The sequence below is a fragment of the Homo sapiens genome, chromosome 19 (genome assembly GCF_000001405.40).
Source record: "Homo sapiens chromosome 19, GRCh38.p14 Primary Assembly".
Classification (NCBI taxonomy): Eukaryota; Metazoa; Chordata; class Mammalia; order Primates; family Hominidae; genus Homo; species Homo sapiens.
Genome location: NC_000019.10, coordinates 32100256 through 32120635, shown reverse-complemented (window position 1 = coordinate 32120635; position 20380 = coordinate 32100256). Strand labels below are relative to the sequence as shown.

The 20380-nt window shown below is 40.8% G+C and overlaps 1 long non-coding RNA gene across 1 annotated transcript, besides 1 other annotated feature; it reads left to right on the top strand.

Moving 5' to 3' along the window:
* Positions 1-14719: 14719 nt before the first annotated feature.
* Positions 14720-18548, top strand: LINC01782 (long intergenic non-protein coding RNA 1782). Its single transcript, NR_110694.1, has 4 exons — positions 14720-17131; positions 17392-17559; positions 18135-18344; positions 18431-18548. It is a non-coding gene; the product is annotated as a long intergenic non-protein coding RNA 1782 (long non-coding RNA).
* Positions 15745-16944: an enhancer, noted in NCBI's record as "CDK7 strongly-dependent group 2 enhancer chr19:32594598-32595797 (GRCh37/hg19 assembly coordinates)". NCBI's record gives its function as "activates an origin of replication core promoter dependent on BRD2, BRD4, P300/CBP, MED14 and CDK7 cofactors, with strong dependence on CDK7, by STARR-seq in HCT116 cells {active_cell/tissue: HCT116}" and the evidence as "EXISTENCE:reporter gene assay evidence [ECO:0000049][PMID:35650434]".
* Positions 18549-20380: the final 1832 nt, after the last annotated feature.

Sequence of the window (20380 nt, the reverse complement as noted above, 5' to 3'; positions counted from 1 at the left end):
TGCAAGTGAGGGGAGGAGTAGTGAGAAATGACATAAAAGGGGCTTGTAAGAGCCAAGTCCTCAGGGGTCTTGCAGGCCATGGTGCTGGGGTGTGGCTTTTAGCTCAAGTCCAATGTGCTTTCGTAGTGCCAGGTAGAAGCCCTACTGTTGAACATGAACAAGTCACCAGGACGTTCCAAAATAATAGGATGTCTTTTCTGTTTGATCATAATCTCCCTGAGGGCAAGCAATGGGTTTCAGGTACCTTTCTAAGTCATTGTTTTTCCCAGTGCTTACAAGAGACAAAATATACGGGCAATAACCAGACCATATATAAGATAGAACTCTGACCTACGATCGGCAGCAAAGAATTTAAGAAGTCAAACTCCCATCTTTAGCAACCATCCAGGATGACAAATAACAACCCTTGTAACATTTGGTCTTAAATGGCTGGGACTTGTTGAATTAGGGACAGTGTCCCTAATTTTTGTCCCTGCTTCTAACTTAGCTTCACATGGAGAAAGCCAAATATGCCCACTTAAACCATCACATAGGATGCCCTGCTTCTAGTTAGCTGCCTACAGCTTCCCCCACTAACGGGGCACACTGGAAGCCTTCTCTTTTTCCACTGTAAACTTTTCCCACCTCTCTGCCTCCCTGTGAGTCTCTGCCAAATGTGAGTGATGGTTGCTGACTCTCTTGACATAGCAAGCTCTAAATAAATAGCCTTTGCTTGTTCTCATTTGGGTGGTCTTTGTTTACTTCCATGCCTGACTCACATAGTGAATTAATGAATGAGTGAGTGAATGAATAACAACCCTTCCGTCCAGAAGCTGACCCTCTAATGCAAGGGATAAAGCTAAGGAGGGGTCAGGTGTGGTGGCTCACACCTGTAATCCCAGCACTTTGGGAGGCTGAGGCAGGCAGATCACCTGAGGTCAGGCGTTTGAGACAAGCCTGGCCAACATGGCAAAACCACGTCTCTACAAAAATACAAAAATTAGCTGGGTGTGGTGGTGCACACCTGTGGTCCCAGCTACTAAGGAGATTGAGGCAGAAGAATCATTTAAACCTTGGTGGTGGAGGTGGCAGTGAGCCGAGATCATGCCACTGCACTCCAGCCCGGGTGACAGAGCAAGACTCCATCTCAAAAAAAAAAAAAATAAAATAAAAAGAAGGTAAGGAGGGGAAGATTAACAGCAACATGGCTGACTGATGACCGAGACACTACACCTACAGGGAAACAGATGGGCCTGTCCTTCTGAGTCTCTGTTTATACTAACCATCTTCTCTGGATGCCTGCTCCTTTATAAACCTGGGATTCTCCTATGCAAAATCACTAACATGCATTTTCACTTAATGTATGCTGCTCATCTCTCCACTTAATAGTATATCTTTCAAGGATGCAATTTTAAATGATTGCATAGTATTCCATGAGGTCAAGTGGATGGTTTCTTCTAATTTTATTTTATTAAAAAAAATATTTTTGTTATATATTGACAGATTACAGTTGTATGTATTTCTTGGGTTACAAAGTGGTGTTATGATTTTTGAATACACGGTGGAAAGAGTAAATTAAGTTAATTAACATATCTATCATCTCAAATATTTAACATTTTTTATGATAAGAATATTGGAAATGTACTCTTTTAGTTATATTGAAATGCGCAGAGCTCAATTATTAGCTATATTTACCATGATGTTCAATTGATATAAAAAACCAAATCTCTTTCTCTTGTCTAGCTGAGGCTTTGTACTCTGTGACTATCATCTCCCCATTCCCCACAGCCCCAGCCTCTGGTAACCACCATTCTACTCTCTGCTTCTATGAGTTCAATTGTTTCAGAATCCACGTATAAGTGAGAACACACAGTATTTGCCTTACTATATTCGGCTTATTTCACTTAATGTAATGTTCTGCCATTCTATCCATGTTGTTGCAAATGACAGAATGTTTTTTTTAAGGTTGAATACTATTCCATCATGTATATATGCCACATTTTCTTTATCCATTCATCAATGGTGGAGCACCCAAATATATAAAGCACATATTAAAGAATCTGAAGGGAGAGATAGATTGCAATATGATAATAGTAGGGGACTTCAGTAGACCGCTTTCAATAATGGACAAATTATCCAGACAGAAAATTACTAAGGCACTTTAGACCAAGTGGATCTAACAGAAATATATGGAGCATTTCATCCAATAGCAACAGAATCCACATTCTTCTCAAGTGCGTATAGAGCATTCTCCAGGATAGATCAGACGTTATGCCACAAGACAAATCTTACCAAATTTAAGAAGGTTGAAATCATGTCAAGTATCTTTTCTGACCACAGTGTTATAAAACTAGAAATTGGTTATAAGAGGAATTTCAGAAAATTCACAAATACATGGGAATTAAATAGCATGCCCCTGAACGACCATCGGGTCAATGGTGAAATTAAAAGAGAAATTTAAAAATATCTTGAAAGAAACAAAAAGGGAAATACAACATACCAAAACTTATGGGATGCAGCCAAAGCAGTTCTAAGAGGAAAGTGTATAACAATAAATGCCTACATCAAAAAAGAAGAGTTGCAAATAAGCAACTTATTGTTATGCCTCAAGGAAATAGAAAAGGAAAAACAAACTAAGCCCAATGTTAGCAGCTGAAGAAATAATATTAGAGCTGAAATAAATGAGATAGAGACTAGAAAACAATACAAAAGCAATAAAAATAAGGGTTAGTTTTTTGAAAAGATAAACAAGGTTGACCAAACTTTAGCTTGACTAACCAAGAGAAAGAGAGCAGAAATAAAAGAGGAGACATTACAAGGGACACCACAGAAATACAAAGGACCATAAGAGGCTATTTAGAATAATTATATGCTGGCTGGGTATGGTGATTCATGCCTGTAATCCCAGCACTTCGTTAGGCTGTGGTGGGAGGATCATTTGAGCTCAGGAGTTCAAGGCCAGCCTGGGTAACAGTGAGATTCTGCCTCTACAAAAAAAAAAAAATTATTAAAAAAATGATTAGCTGGATATGGTGGCACACATCTGTAGTTCAAGGCTTGAGCCCAGGAAGTTGAGGCTACAATGAGCCATGATTGCACCACTGCACTCCAGCCTGGGTGACACTGCACTCCAGCCTGTCTCCAAAAAAAAAATTATATGCCAAAAAATTGGTTAACTTAGAAGCAATGGATACATTCCTAGAGACATACAACACACCGACCTGAAATCATGAAGAAATAGAAAAATCTGATCAGACCAATAACGAGGGAGGAGATTGAAGCAGTCATAAAAAAGTCAACCAACAAAGAAAAGCCCAGGACCAGATGGCTTCATGGTTGAATTCTGCCCAACATTTAAAGAACTAATACCAATTCTCCAAAAACTCTTCCAAAAAAATTGAAGAGGAGAAAATACTTCCAAACTCTTTTAACGAGGCCAACTTTACCCTGATACCAAAGCCAGACAAGGACATCACAAGAAAACAAAACTGCTTCTAATTTTAAACATAAAATTCCTAAATCAAAGTTTATGCCACATTTTAAAGTTTTTCTTACATGTTTCCAAGTTGCTTTCCAAAAAGGTTATAGAAATTTGCCCTCATATCCATAGTGTATGGAAGTGTATAGTTTCCTACTTCTTCATCAGCAATTGTATTTTATACTCTTTTCCACTGTTGGTGCATTTGAAAGCCAAAAAATGTTATTTTGTATTGAGTTACATTTCTTTAATAATAAATGGACTCAATATATTTTTAGTATATTCTTTGATTATTTTTTCTCAGATAAATTTTTATTTATGTTCTTTTACATCTGTCTTTTCTGAGTGGGTTCCATATTGTCTTAACAGCATGGTTCTGTAATTTATTTTAATATATGGTAGGGTAAGCCTCTTCTAATACCTATTTTGTTTTTTTAAAAATGTTATGAATGTTTTTCTCCTACAAGGATTTTGACTGAAATCGCAATTTATTTGTAAAGTAATTGAAAAAGTCTATAGTATTATCAGAATGTGATATATCTTTCCATTCACCCAGATCTTCTTTGAAGACTGTTAATTTTTGGTTTTTCTAATAGGAATCTATGACCTTTCATGTTTAGTATTCTGTGCATTCAGATTTCCAGTTGTTTTGTGGATGATATTATTTTGCATTATTAATTATGGTTAGTTTTCACTGGCCATTGTGAATAAATAGGAAAGCATCTTATCTATCTATGTATCTATGTATCTATCTTTCTATCTATTATCTACCTATCATCTATTATCTTTACTCTGTAAATTGCCACCAGACTGTGCTTTCTTGAATTTTCTAATTTTTATTTCTAGTTAATTCTCTTGGGTTTTCTAGGTCAACAAGCATATTGAGAAATAGCAAAAAAAAAAAAAAAAAAAAAAAAAAATCCTATCTTTCCAATAGTCACACATTTTGTTTTTTATCTTTGTTATATTGAATTGCCTAGAACAGGCTGAATATTGTCAATGGTGATAATAGATACCCTTGTCCCATTGCTGACTTGAATGGAAATGATGCTGGTTTTTTGCTGTCATGTGTGACAATGTCTGTGGTTCGAGGTAGCTATTTTGTATTGTTTTGAGATCAGATGCTTCTAAATTTAGTGAGTTTTCATCAGGAGGAGATATTGAATTCATACCTTTCAGCATCAATCAAGATGACTGTGATTTTCCTTCTTTGACTTTCTGATGAAATGAATTATAGTTAATAGATGTTTTTAATGTTGAGGTATTTTGCATATGGGCAAGAAAATCTTAATCTTGTTGGATCTGAGTTGTAATATTTTATTTGGGATGTTTATGTCTATATTCACAAATGAGTTTAGTTCATAGGTTTTATTTTTTGTTATATCTTTGGGAAGTTTGGATGACAAGATTATGTTTGCTTTGAACAATGGACTGGGAGAATCTCCAACTTTCTCTTTTCTCTGAAACAAATGGCACAGGGATTGTTCATTCCTTGACATTTGGAAGAAATTGCCCTTAAAACTTTAATCTAGTGTCTTGTTTTTGGAATCGGTCCTTTGACAGTCTTTCCAGTTCTTCTATGTTTATTATTAGTAGTATTATTGTCCTTAGATTTTTAAATATTTCTTTTATTGACAGTTTTGGTAACCCATATGTTTCCAAGAAATTTGCAAATCTTATTCAGATTTTAAAAACTGAAGGTGTGAAATTGAGGGACATTCTTCACAATACCAGGCCAGTATTCGTCTAAACTGCCAAGGCCATGACAAACAAAGCAGGACTGAGAAACTGTCGCAGATCAGAGGAGACTGAGGAGACACGGTGACTAAATGAAATGGGGCATCTTGGATAAGATTCTGGTTCAGAGAAAGGACGTTAGTTGAAAAGTGGGTGACATCTAAATAAAGTCTGGAATTTACTTAAAAAGTATTGTTATGGAGTTATCATACTCTTTTATAAGGATGACACCATCCTGCCACAGCAGAGATTATTTTTTTCTTTTATCTTCTTGATTAGACTTGACAGGGACTTGTTTTGAGAAACTCATCCTTGAATTTATTCAGTAGTTCGACTTAAAAAAATCAAAAACTGTCAATAATTTTAAAATTTTTGGTAACTTTTTATTGTCATTATTTCCATCTTACTTAAAAGTTATAGGAATAGTTTATGAACTCCCACATATCCTTCATCAATTGTGTAAATTTGCCCCATTTGTGTTCTCTTTCTTTCTGTACATATATTAATTAATATGCACATACTAATATTTAGTATACATTAATATGTATACTAATATTCCTTCTAAACCATTTGAGAATAGACTGGAAGCATCATTCCCCTTTACCCCTAAATACTTCATTGCTATTTCCTAAGAATGAGGGCATTCTCCTACGTAACCACAGCTGTTACCCAAATCAGGAAATTTAACATTGATATGGTACTATTATCTAAATTTGCAAATTTCTTGGAAATATATGCATTACCAAAATTGTCAAGAAAACAGATATTGAAAAATCTAGAGATACTACTGCTAGTAAACAGAGAGTATATCGCTTATGTAACCACAGCTCAGTTACCCAAATCAGGAAATTTGACATTGATATGGCACTGTTTCCTAAATTTACACATTTCTTGGAAATATGTGGATTACCATTACCAAAACTGTCAACAAAAGTAGTATTGAAAAATCTAAAGATACCACTACTAATAAACAGAGGGCATTCTCTTACATAACCACAGCTCAGTTACCCAAATCAGGAAATTTGACATTGATATGGTACTATTAACTAAATTTGCAAGTTTCTTGGAAATATATGGATTACCAAAACTGTCAACAAAAGAAATATTGAAAAATCTAAAGATACTACTACTAATAAACATAGAAGAACTGGAAAGACTGTCAAAGGACTGCTTCCGAAACAAGACACTAGATTAAAATTTTAAGGCTAATTTCTTCCAAACATCAAGGCATGGACAATCCCTGTGCCATTTGTTTCAGAGGAAAGAGAAACTTGGAGATTCTCCCAGTCCATTATTCAAAACAAGCATAATCCATTTTCAAATTTTGTCAATTGTCCCAATATTGTCCTTTCTAGTTATTATTTTTTCCCTTGCAGTATCTGGTCCAGGATCAAGAGTTGCATTCAGTTGTCCTGTCTCTTTAGCCATCGTTAATCTGGAACAGTTACTCAATTGGGTGTATTTCATGACTCTTCATTTATAGATTCGGTTTATGCACTTCTAACAGGAATACCCACAAGTGACATCGTGCCTTTCTGAGTGCATCTTATGAAGAGGCACAGAACTTGGTTTCTTCCAATATCGGTGCTGCTAACTTTGATCACTTGGTTAAGGTGGTGCCTAGCTGGCTCCTCCACTGTAAAGTTACTATCTTCTCCTTTGTAACTAGTAATTAATTGTGGAGAGATACTTTTGCACTGTGTAAATATTCTTCATCAAATTCCCACCCACTAGTTTTACTATACACTGATGGTTTTATAACCTCAGCGTTCATTCTATATTATCAATGAGCATTGTACTGTAGGGAAGAGCTTTTTCTCCCCACTTACTTAATTTAAAAAAAAATTACTTATTTATATCAGTATGGATGCATGAACTCTTAATTTATTCAATGGGTTATAACACATTACCATCATTACATTAAAAATATATTTTTTTAGAAACAGGGTCTCACTCTATCACCCAGGCTGGAGTGCAGTGGTGTGATCATAGCTCACTGCAGCCTCAAACTCTCAGATTCAAGCCACCCTGCCACCTCGGCCTCCTGAGTAGTTGGGACTACTGGTATGTTCCACTATGCCTGGCTAATTAAAAAAAAATTTTTGTGTGGTAATGGGGTCTTGCTGTGTTGCCCAGCCTGGTCTCATACGTACTCCTGGCCTCAAGTGATCCTTCTGCCTCTAAGGATATATTTTGATGTTCAAATTGTCCTAGATTTGGCAGTTGAGATTCCTTCAATCTGGTTCTTGTCTCCTTTTGACAAATCCTTATAAGTCTTTGAGCGCTTCCTTAATTTCTGACACAGAAAGCTGTTTCAGGGTCATCTTGGATTTTCCCTGCCCCAGTTCAGTTATTTCTCCAAGGAGCCCTACGCAGAACCAACCAATTAACCAACCAACTAACTGACCAACCAACCAGTGGTAAACAAATACGGATTCCTCATTGGTGTTGCTTCCAGTTGGTTTCCTTCCTGCAATGGTAATGGGTTGGAATTTTGAACCCACCTTCTGTGACTTCTAGGATGAGCAAGTGAATCCATGTATTGAGGATAATGGGAACTGGGTTTCTCACTATTGGGGAAACATGCAGAGGAGGAGGTTAGAAATGTAGCCAGTGTTAGCCAGGCATGGTGGCACATGCCTGTAGTCCCACTGCTCCAGAGGCTAAGATGGGAGAATCGCTCGAACCAAGAAGGCGGAGGTTCCATCATTGAGCCGAGATTGCACCACTGCTCTTCAGCCTGGGTGACAATAGTGAGACTCCGTCTCAAAAAAAAAAAAAAAAGAAATGTACCTTGTTGTGCTGAATTGGAATCAAAAGGGGCAGATGAACTCATGGTTTTTAATATCTATCTATCATCTATCTATCTATCTATCTATCTATCTATCTATCTATCTATCTATCATCTACCATCATCTATAGATACAGAAATAAATATTAATGCCTATTTAATGTGTGTGTACATGTGCATGTATTTCCCAGCTCTGTCTGCTGAGAGGTCCTAGAAACAATGACACGCTAGTAACAATGAGCACGTCTTGTGCTAAGATCCTGATTTTTATTTACTAATCTCAATTAAATTTTTAAAAAGTTTATCCTTCTTTTGTGCATGTTATATTACAGGAACACTTTGTAGATGCTATGTAGCATTTTAAAAACTGCCTTGTGTATGCAGCACTGTCCAGCAGAACTGTCTGCAACAATAGAAATGTTATATACCCGCCCTGACTGGTGGAGTACCCACTAGACTCAGAAAACATGGCTAGTGGGTCTGAAGAACTGATTATTTACTTTATTTAATTTTAATTAGTTAAAATCTAAATTTAAATAGCCACTCATGGTTAGTGGCTACTATATTAGACTTTTGAGTATAGGTTTGAAATGTTTGTATGTGTGTGAGTGTGTGTATTCAAGTTTATTAATAATACTATTCAAATGTATTTTGTTCAAATACTGTATTAGACCTTTGGGTATATGGTTTGTATACGTGTATGTATATATGTGTAAATATACCATATATATATTCAATTTTGTTAATAATATTGGTTAAATCTTCTTTTTTTCTCTCGGTATACCTGGCAAAGATCAAGAGAAAAATGTTCACTTTGACCATTTTGCTTTAATCTCTACCTTGTTAAATATTAATATTATCGTCTCTGATTTATTTTTGTTTGTGTTTGCCTGGTAAGTCGTTGCCCATCACTTTATTTGGCACATGGAAAAAACTCAATATTTATTTGTTGAATGAATAAATGCATAAATTTTTAAAGCTTTTCGGAACATTTTATTATAGGTTTGTTCCTCTGTAATAGCTCAAAGCTGGATTTTGTTTTTGACCCAAACTAAGTCTTTTAATAGAAGCTTCCAGCTCATTTACATTTTGTGCTTAGTTACTTACAGGGCTTTTGTCTTTTTGTGTGAAATTGAAGCATAGCCTGTATCAGTTCCTTCTGGGTAAGGATTTTGTTCCCAGAGATCCTTTTCTACCTTGAAGACGTCCCTATTCATGTGCCCTAAGGAAGATTTCTGTTTTCCTTTTAATTATTGCTTTTCCACTCTTCTTTTCTTTCCTTTTAAACCACTGTTATATCCAGGATAAGTGCCTGCTGTTTCTTTTTTCTTTTCTTTTTGAGACGGAGTGTTGCTCTGTCGCCCAGGCTGGACTGTAGTGGTGCGATCTCAGCTCACTGCAAGTTCCTCCTCCCTGGTTCATGCCATACTCCTGCCTCAGCCTCCCGAGTAGCTGGGACTACAGGCACCCACCGCCACGCCCGGCTAATTTTTTGTGTTTTTAGTAGAGATGGGGTTTTACCATGTTAGCCAGGATGGTCTCGATCTCCTGACCTCGTGATCCGCCCGCCTCGCCTGCTATTTCTTATTTCTTTCTCATTTGCATTTATCTTTGAGTCCTGGTACTATCTCTTGAGCTTGTCTTCTAATTCTCCATTTAAAAATTTGTCAATCATATTTCTCGATCCAAAAGCAATATTTTTAGATTTTTCTCTTTTATACTACCTGCCAGAGTTTTGTAGTTGAAATGTCTCGGAAGGACACACCTAGAGCATCTTTGCACTTGTCTCCTGTTTCTTGCACTAACTCTGCCATATAATGTGATGTTTGCTCTAATTGTGCAGATTTATGTATGCATCTTGAATGGCTACATATTTCCACCTGTCTTGTGATTTCTCTGTTTTTTCTCTCCCACATGGGGGAGGTCATAGGGTTATCCAGTAGGGGGTTCTGAGAGAGAGTGTGGCATGCCTATGTAGATATTTCAGGCCCAGTCAAAGAGGGTAGGGAAAAGTGTAGATTGGCAGTTGCTTTCCTTTGCCAAGTTAACTTATTTTATTAAAACTCTTAAATATTTTTTCTTTTTTTTTATACAGGGTCTCACTCTGTCACCCAGGCTGGAGTGCAGTGGTGCAATCTTGGCTCACTGCAACCTCTGCCTCCCGGGTTCAAGAGATTCTCCTGCCTCAGCCTCCTGAGTACCTGGGACTACAGGGGTGCATCACCACACCTGGCTAATTTTTGTATTTTTTTGGTAGAGATGGGGTTTCATCATTTTGGCCAGGCTGGTCTAGAACTCCTGACTTCAAGTGATCTGCCCACCTTGGCTTCCCAAAGTGCTGAGATTACAGATGTGAGCCACCATGCCCAGCCTAAAACTAATTTTTATTTACTTATTTTGTAACACTCCATTTTATTTTTTTGAGACAGTCTTGCTCTGTCCCTCAGGCTGGATAACTGCTTACTGCAGCCTCAAATTCTTGCCTCAAGTGATCCTCCTTCCTCAGCCTCACAAGTAGCCGGGACTACAGGAATGCTTCACCATACCTGGCCCCAAATTTAGCTTCTGTGACCCACAACCAGAGGCTCCTCAAGCAGGGAATTTCCCCTGTGTTGAAGAGCACCTGTTTCTTGTTTGTTATGGCAGCCCCAAGTAAAAGGGAAGCATGTCTTCCTTCTCTTTTTGCCACCATGACAGAAGAAGAGAGGTATTTAATGATATCAACCTTCTAGAATGTGTGTGTGCTCCCAGTGTTTTGATAGTGTATAACAGAGAAACTAAGCTTCAAAACTTGTACAGAGGCCAGGCATGGTGGCTCATGCCTGTAATCCCAACATTTTGGGAGGCCAAGGCAAGTGGACCACCTGAGGTCAGGAGTTCGAGACCAGCTTGGTCAACATGGTGAAACCTCATCTCTACTAAAAAAAAAATTAGCCAGGCATGGTGGCGGGTGCCTGTAGTCCCCAGGCTGTGGCAGGAGAATTGCTTCAACCCAGGAGGCAGAGGTTGCAGTGAGCTGAGATAGCGTCACTGCACTCCAGCCTGGGCAACAGAGCGAGACTGTCTAAAAAACAAAAAAAAGGACTAGCAGAGAGTTCCCTGAATAGAGGGTGGCTCTATGTAGAGAATTAGGTGCCATCATTGTCCCTGTCTGGCCACTAACTTGTCATGCCCTCATTACCTCCTCTGGATGGATCAGGGTCAAATGGACTCAACCCAAAGGCATTTTCTTTCCCTTTCTCTTTGTTCCTCTTTGGGTCTGAGGTTGAAAGTGAGAAAACTCCAGGGCTGCAGGGTACCAGGTGAAAGCATAAAGTTTGGTTTGTTTTGGAACATAGGAAACTCTGTGTGTGTGTGTGCATTTGTGTGTATTTGTGTGTGTGTGTGCATGTGTATGTGTGTATGCATACATATTCCCAGGCTTCTCCAAGCCAAGCTAAATTCTCAGAGCACTATGTCCCTTTTTTGGGCTATATCCACCTTATTTTTGCCCTTGGACAGTGAGGAAGTATTGCCTGAGAAGTGCCAAAGATGAAACTGTGCCTTCCTGTTCTCTCCAAAGTGAGGGCTTCCTTGGAACTGAAGGTTTTTGTTTCAGGAAGAGGGATCCAGGAAGTTTGGAGAACAATGGCTGTGCCTGATGGAGACAAATGACTGCAGGCCAGACTTGGCTGGGAAGGAGGCTCCAGATGGGGCTGGGTCGCCTTCTAAGCCTAAGACCTGCCTTGGTGAACATCCTTAGACAGCAGATCTTCATCCTCAGGAGAACAGAGGGACTCAGGCAGATCCCGGTTCTGAGTTTATTAGCAGTAGGGTCTGGTCAAGTTTCTGTGCTTCAATATCCCCTCTGATATGTGGGACAAACATTTCAACTTCATTGGATTGTTGGGATGATTCAGTGATAAAACAGCATCAAGCTTCTTGCTACGCACAATGAATGGCACACCTGGGTTCTTAATTCCTCAAGACAAACTGGTTCATAAATATACACACAGAAGCAGCAGCACAGCACAGTGGCTGGCACCACAAGTTATGGAGTCAAATTATCTGGTATAAAAATTCTGATTTTGGCCTGTCGTGGTGGCTCATATCTGTAATCCCAGCACTTTGGGAGGCTGAGGTAGGTGGATTGCATGAGCGTGGGAGTTCGAGACCAGCCTGGGCAGCATAGCAAGATCCTGGCTCTATTAAATTTTAAAAATAATTCCCGTTTTGTTCTCACTGGCTGTGTCTCCTGAGTAATTTTCTTTTGTTTTTTTTTTGAGACGGAGTCACTGTCATCTAGGCTGGAATGCAGTGGTGTGATCTTGGCTCACTGCAACCTCCACCACCTGGGTTTAAGTGATTCTCCTGCCTCCGCCTCCTGAGTAGCCAGGATTACAGGCATGAGCCATCACATCCAGCTGATTTTTGTATTTTTAGTAGAGGTGGGGTTTCACCTTGTTGGCCAGGATGGTCTTGAACTCCTGACCTTAGGTGAGATTGGAGAATCAAAACAAGATGCTGGGTATGAACTCTTGCTCCATCATGTCATAGCAGATGATCCTGGGTGAGTCATTGGCCCTCCCAAAGTCTCAGTTTCTCATCTGTCACCCGAGGACCATGGTCCTGCTTATCTTCAACTGACAATGCAGTGAGGCATGAGGAAGATCTTGTGCAAAGCTCTCATCTCAGTTCCAGTAGGCAGCAAGGGCTCTGGAATGGTTAACCAGGGGGATTTGTAGACAGAAAGCCTATTTCCTAGAGTTCTCTCTTCTCCAGTTTCTTCCCCTGTTGTTCAGCTATGACACTTGGAAAACTGTCCTGTTTCCTCCTTCCCAGGCATACTTCAGCTGGTTTGTTTCCCTGCAAAAGGAACTACTCCAGCCCAGACGGGGGGGCACCTCTCAGTGTCGGACATTGCCTTCCTGTGAATGCAGCCTTGTTTAATTCACTAATCAACACATCTGGCAATCACCCTAAAAAACTCAGTGCCCTCCAGTTCCATGTTTCAAGTCTTTCTGGAGGGGAGGAGGAATACTCAGATTTACACTTCTGTTGCTACTTACATATCATGTCTCTCAATACAAAGCCATCCTCTTGTGGCCGCAGGTGGATGCTTGGTGTATTAGTCTGTTTTCACACTGCTCGTAAAGACGTACCCGAGACTGCGCAATTTATAAGGAAAAAAAGGTTTAATGGACTCACAGTTCCACATGGCTGGGGAGACTTCACAATCATGGTGGAAGGTGAAAGGCACATCTTACATGGCAGCAGACAAGAGAGAAGAGAATGAGAGCCAAACGAAAGGGGTTTCCCCTCATACAACCATCAGATCTTGTGAGACTTATTCACTACCATGAGAACACTAAAAGGGAACCCCTCCATGATTCAATTATCTCCCAGTGGGTCCCTCCCATAACATGTGGGAATTATGGGAACTACAATTCAAGATGAGATTTGGGTGGGGACACAGCAGGACCAGGTCACCCAGGCTGTGTTTGTCCGACCTATCAATAATAATTTAATTGTACATTTAAAAATAACTAAAAGCGTATAATTGGATTGCTTGTAACACAAAGGATAAATACTTGAGGGGATGGGTTTTCCATTATGTGATTATTATGCATTACATGCCTATACCAAAATATCTCATATACCCCATAAACATATACACCTGCTGTGTATTCACAAAAATAAAAAGAAAATACCAAAAAAAAAAAAAAAAGATCTAGGTGTCTGGATCCACCTTCTAGGGTAGGTTTGCATGGATCCAAAGGGTGAAGGTTGAGCCCAGCTGATTCATGGTACATCAGACACATGACATCCTTCTTCTATATCCATGTCCCCAACTGTAGCTCTGCCAGGGAATTCCGAGAAACCAGGATGGAGGCTTTTGTGCTAAGATCTGTCTTTTATCCATTTAAATTACAATACTGGAATAATTATGTATGTGTAAAAACTGTCAAAAGTATACTTAAATGATACCTTTGCCGTGTACTAAAATTACTTTTCATTATGACCTATTTGTACATCGTTTGAACTAAATATCTCAGCCTAGAAATGTAAACGTGTTTTGTTTTTGCTCTGCAGGTTAGGTCAGCAGACGTCTGAAACAAATACGATTGCAAGGGTGAAAGTGACATGATTTACTTAAATCAGGCAATTTCTCCATGAAAGCATTGAAGCCTCAACTCATAAAGACACTCTTCAGCAGATGAGCTGTAAGGTTGTCCAGCATTTGTCATATTAGGTGATTTGAAAGGAAAGAACAATTATAAAAATGAATGTAATTCTCTGTTGAAGAAAAAATAATCCAGTTTTTGCAGCAGGGGGCCACAGATTAAAAACAGATTTCACAGCAATTCGGCTGCTATAACATTATACAATTAAAACGTAAGAAGAAACAGCTCTCGTGCCAAAGAAGACAGTTGTGGGAATTAGTTTGTTTGGGGACGGGGAGGCAGGTTCCCCCTGCAGCATCAAAGGTTATTTTGTTTCCCCTAGGAACAGCACTGTTGCCATAAACGGTGCTGGTTTGCTTCCAACCCCCATCTTCCCCGCTTTTCTGAGCTGCTTTCAATTAGCAGGGATTATTAAACTGGAAACATTTTAAACTGCTGCCGAAGCGGCTTTCCGGCCTTATGAGCTGAGGCCTTATGAGCCGAGCTAGAGGCGTCACAATAAAGCTGATTGATTAGGGAGGAATGTACTGATAGCAACTAATGCCCAGTGTCTTTTTCTATGCGTTTCACAGTCTACTCTTTCCCCACTGAACTGTGTGTCTTCATGGGGAGTTTGACTTTGCTTCTCTCTCTGGTGCCTTCTGGAGCCTGGAGGCTCTCAACTTCCATTTCAACTGCCTGACCTGGGCCAGCCATATCTCCATGACCCATCTCCCACCTGGACCCATTGCTAGGGTGGGCGGATCCCAGAGGCCAGGCTGTTGGATTTCTGCATGACTGGCCTTTTTCTCTTTGCAGTTTAATTGTCGGGACATCAGACTAACAGTGACAATAACACATCTCTGCAAAATATAGGCCACAGAGCGCTGGTGGAGGTAGAGGTGGGGGCAGGTGTATGTGTCTTGTTGGAGGGTTTCAAAAATGGAAGACATTTCCCTAAAGTTTGATCGTCAATGACCTTGTCTTCTAGTGATCTTCCTTTAAGTTTCTTGTGTGCATATCTGATTTCTCCAACTAAACTAATTAATTTATTTGATAACGCATACTACTTGGTTAGCATTGTGATAAATTTTTAAAGGTATTTACTTTTTATGTTTAATTCTAGCAACAAATCCCTGATTTGTTGGTAGAATCGGTACAGTTAACATCCCCATTTTAAGATGAGTAAACTGAGGCCTGTGGGTGGGAAAGGCCGACTTCAAAATGAGGCAGAACGCTTCACCACTATATTGCTTCTTGCATTAAACCTTTTCCTGCTCTGAGTGAGCGGGGTGGAACCGATCCTCTATTCCTCCCCAGGTCATTCACTACTTAAAAAAAAAATCCATGGATTCTTTTAATACATGCTTGTTGTGTGTGTCCAGGCTCTGAGGATGGTGGTGGACTAGTCAGACCAGCTGCCTCTTCTTGTCGGGACAGGACTCATGCCCGAGCTCTGTTTCTGATCAGTTTGCAAGGAGAATGTATATACCCACATTGCCACTTACCACGAGGAAGCTCGGCTTTTCAGCGTTGCCTAAGTGCTTGAGTTGCAAAGGTTCAGCAACCCAGCTTGTGTTGGGTGGACTGGAAAAAGGAGACAGGGTCCACTTTTTGGTTACGCAGTGGGCTGCCTTCAACCCCCCACTCCCCTCTTTTCTGGCAGAAAGGGGCTGGAGTGAAGGTGCGGGGTGGGTGTTGGGGAGTGGCAGAAAGCGGTTTCCCTAGGGGCGGGGCCCGGGGTAAGGCCGACCACAGTTATTCCAGGATTATGACTCAAAGCACACTAACAAGAAGCATTTATTACCTCCGAAGTAGTGCTGGCTCTGTAGTGCTGAATGGAGAGGTGAGGTATTGCAGCTGTTATCTTTTGAACTAACTGCTATTGCGTGTCCCATGACCAGCCGTGGCAGGGTTTTTGTTCCCATGAATGAATGGGCTATAAATCTGTCGGAGCTGACAGTAGCAGCAGTACTAGAGGGTGTAAAGAGAAAATGTGCAGAAGAATCTTGTGGTCTTTGCTTGCCTAGAAAATGAGTTCAATAAAATGGAGGTGATCAGTGCTTATTTATAGGGCAAACGGATACATCCAGCATTGGCCGTCAGAGCCTAACTTAGTGTTTTCTCATTTACAGTCACTCTGTTGTAAAGCACATCTGTGCACCGAGGGCACTCGTGGAGCTTCCAGCAATTGCAGTGGTGGAGACACGTGCAGATAAAGGGGTGTTTTCCTCTCTGTTTCTAAGCTTCAGGAGCCTTCAGAGGTAGCTGTCTGGAGAGCTGTAGTTTTGAGGGTTCTAACAGGCAGGAAAACCCGAGGCCGAGAACAGCTCCTTATTTATATTTCAGTTTTGAGGGTGAATGGCAGGAAATGGAATAAAATTAATCGCCATTTTTTCAGGCCCCTGAAACAATAAATTTCAGCAGCCATAAATTTGGAGCTGGGTTAAGTACTGAAAACAATTTATTGCTATTTTTTCCCTTAATTGCATTCCCAAGAAGAAGGGTTTGGTGCTTACTGGTGGCATTATTATATAAAAATTATTCGTTAGAAAGCACAATGAACAGTAAATCAGAAGCTTACCTGAAATAGGGTCAGGGTTCCTCACAATTCATCTTCGCCCCCACCCAGCCTGTCTCCAGCGAAGTCTTCAGGAAAGAAAAGGATCAGAGAAAATGCTCCCGCTGTCCCCTCGCCCCTCCTCCGTGACACTGTGTGCAGATTAGGTGTTGATTCAATAAGATGCTTCACCTTCTAAAAGTGATAGTGTGAGTCACGTGTGGAAGCAGAGGGGACATAATGGAACGATCACTGCACGGCATCCCTGCCTCGTTTAATTTGTTTTGAGGCTGCTAGCCGTGTCAGGCTAACTGCAGTCGAGGCCAATCAACAGCCTGACCCTGTTGGTGGAGAAAGTTGAAAGATAGTGGCATTGTGTCAGAAGCTGCTGGGATGAAGTCAACATCCGTTCCTGTCTCCCCTTGGGAGAGCCATGTTCCAGGGTGAGCCTCCTTTGCAAAAAAAGACTTGTTGGGACTGGAGGTCTGAGAGCTGGGGCTGGCCTTGGGGAAGAGGATCACTGCAAGTCACTTTACACTGTGCAGGGGACTGGCTATCCTTTGGTTGTTTGATGGGCAGGCTTTGCTCAGATGGGGATGGTGAGATGTCATCTTCCTGCAAATGCCATCTGTGTTCCTTCAGGCCTAGAGCAGGCCATGGATGGGAACCCCCTGCTTAGATCAGTCTCCTTGGCATTTTACAGGCAAAGAGAGTGATGGATTTGCCATTCCAAACCAGCCATAAGTGGAGCCTGTGCCCATCGGAGAGCTGCTGGTGGCTGAAACTGCAATTCTGATAGCCATTTGGGGAAGAGCCAATGGGTGCCAAGTGTTTATGATGTGACAAGTACATCTGCATCACTGATGGTGAGGTCAGTAGGAGCGGTTAGATGGAAGCTCTTCTGTCCCTTCCACAGTGGCATCTATCATCTCAGGCCGGCAATAGCTATGATGGTGGGACGACCCCCCTGCTGCTTGGGGCATGCTCCCACTGCTGGCCAGGGTGGGAGAATGGCAGGAAAATTGTGAGGGAGGCGCAGGGCATCAGGGGCACTGACAGTCTTCCCAGGAAACTGACAGGATGGGGAAAGTACACACTTCAGGACCAAACAAAATGGCACATTCATAGGGTACTCAGGGGTAGGATCCAAGGTAGTGTGCAAAGTAAAACCAGGAAAAAGCCACTGTTCCCTTGCCAGCCTGTTGGGAAAGTATTGTATGAGACGATGACCCTAAGTCCAACATAGCTCATTTTACTGTAGTATCGGAACAGAATTCTGTATCTCTGTCCATTGCTGGAATTACGTTTGGTTTGGTGATGTGATCATCAGCCCACCTGGGAGCTGAGGTCCCAATGGAAAGAAGAAAATCCCTGTCTTCTTCTTCTCCTCCTTCTCCTCCTCCTCCTCTTCCTCCTCCTTCTTATTTTATTATTTTTTTTTGACAGAGTCTCACTCTGTCTCCTAGGCTGGAGTGCAGTGGCGTGATCTCATCTCATTGCAACCTCCACCTCCTGGATTCAAGTGATTCTCCCGCCTTGACTTCCCAAGTAGCTGGGTTTACGGTGCCTGCCACCACACCTGGCTAATTTTTGTATTTTTAGTAGAGATGAGGTTTCACCATGTTGGCCAGGATGGTCTTGAACTCCCGACCTCAGGTAATCCACCTGCCCTGGCCTCCCAAAGTGCTGGGATTACAGTTGTGAGCCACCACACCTGGCCTGAAAATCCTCATCTTTTTCAGGCCACCCAAGGCAGAGGCTCACAGATGGAACTGCAGGCCACAGTATCACCCCATCCCTCACTCTTATGACAACTAATTATCAAGAAATTTCTGTAAAATGAAATCATTATACAAAAAAGATACCTGCATTTGTATGTTTATTGTAGTACTGCTTAACCTAAGTGTTCATCAACAAATGGGTGGAAAAAATATGGTACATATACACAATGGAATACTATTAAGCCATAAAAAAATCATGTCTTTTGCAGCAATATGGATGGAACTGGAGGTCGTCACCTTAAGTGAAACAGGCCAGAAACAGAAAAACAGATATTGCGTGTTCTCACTGATATGTGGGAGCTAAATAATGTGTACACGTGGATGTAGAGCGTGGAATGGTAGACGATGGAGACTCAGAAGGGGGTGGGGTGGACGGGAGGTGGATAATGAGAAATTACTCATTGGGTACTATGCATGTTATTTAGAGGATGGATGCTCTAAAGCCCTGACTTCACCACTGCACAATCTATGCATGTAACATGATTGTACTCGCACCCTATCCATTCATACAAATAAAAAAGATTATAATAAAAAATAAAGCTGGATATATAACCCCCTAAAAAGAAATCCCTGTGAATGAAACGCATGCCCAAGCTGGGTCTACAGCTTTCTATCATGAGCAAGGAGAATTTCTTACACCTTTTACTTCCTCTTTCTTCCTTTCCCTATTCCTGCCCTCTAATTCCTCAGAAACAAGACACCTTGTCTGGGGCTTGTTGGTATGAGCTAAGTGGTCAGAGTGTGGGCAATTGAGGGCAAACATCAAAAATAAGGAACTGAATTCAAAAGAGGAACCTGCTCATGTATGTTCACTGCAGTGCTATTCACAATAGCAGTGACATGGAACCATCCCAGGTGCTCATCCACAGTGGATTGGATGAAGAAAATGTGGCACATTTACACCATGAAATACTACACAGTCACAAAAAAGAATGAAATCCTGTCCTTTGCAGCAACATGGATGCAGGTGGAGGCCATTATTCTAGGTAAATTAACACAGAAACAGAAAAGCAAATGTCATATGTTCTCACTCATAAGTGGGAGCCGAACATTGGGTACTCATGGACACAAAGATGGAAAGCAGACAACTGAGGATTACTAGAGGGGAGGGAGGGAGTAAAGGCTGAAAAAATACCTATTCAGTGCTATGCTCACTACCTTGGTGACAGAATCACTTGTACCCCAATCCTCAGCGTCACACAATATATCCCTGTAACAAATCTGCACATGTACCCCTTAAATCTAAAGAACAAGAAGAAGAGCTAAGCCCATAGACCTTGGGTGAGGAGCAAGGGAGGAGAAGCCTTGATTCCTGGGCTTCAGGAGGCTGAGCCAGGAGCAGAAGCCAGAACGAGTTCTTGCAGAGCTGGGGAGTCGTGTGCAGTTTGCGGTAAGTCATTCTGACAGCAAGAGCTGTGGGGGTTCAGAGCCTGTAAAGAACAAAAGCAAAACATTGCTTTTTGAATATAGGAGTAATACAAATTTATTTTTGAACATTCAGAAATACAGGGAAGTTTCAAGCAGAAAATAAAAACTGCCTGTAATCCCGCTATCCAGAGATAAACCTTGTTAAATTTTTTATGCATTTCTTTACAGGCCTGTGGGCATTTAGATGTCTTACTATTTTTTCAAAATTGGGATTCAACTATACATATAGTTTTTATATCCTGCCCTTTTTTTTCCTCCCCCTTAACATATTGTAAACATTTTCTATGTCCTTGATGGTTTTCAGACTTTTTTTGGTTCGATTTTAAGAATTCACAGAGTTGCATTTTATAGATGTGTTAAATAAAAGTTATAGGAGGCTATTGTTTTCGACTAAGCTTCTGCACTAGGCTTCAACAGACCAGACTAAAAATCAAAATGGAGTTCCTCATTCTAACATGCTGTTACCAAAACACCAGGGGTTCT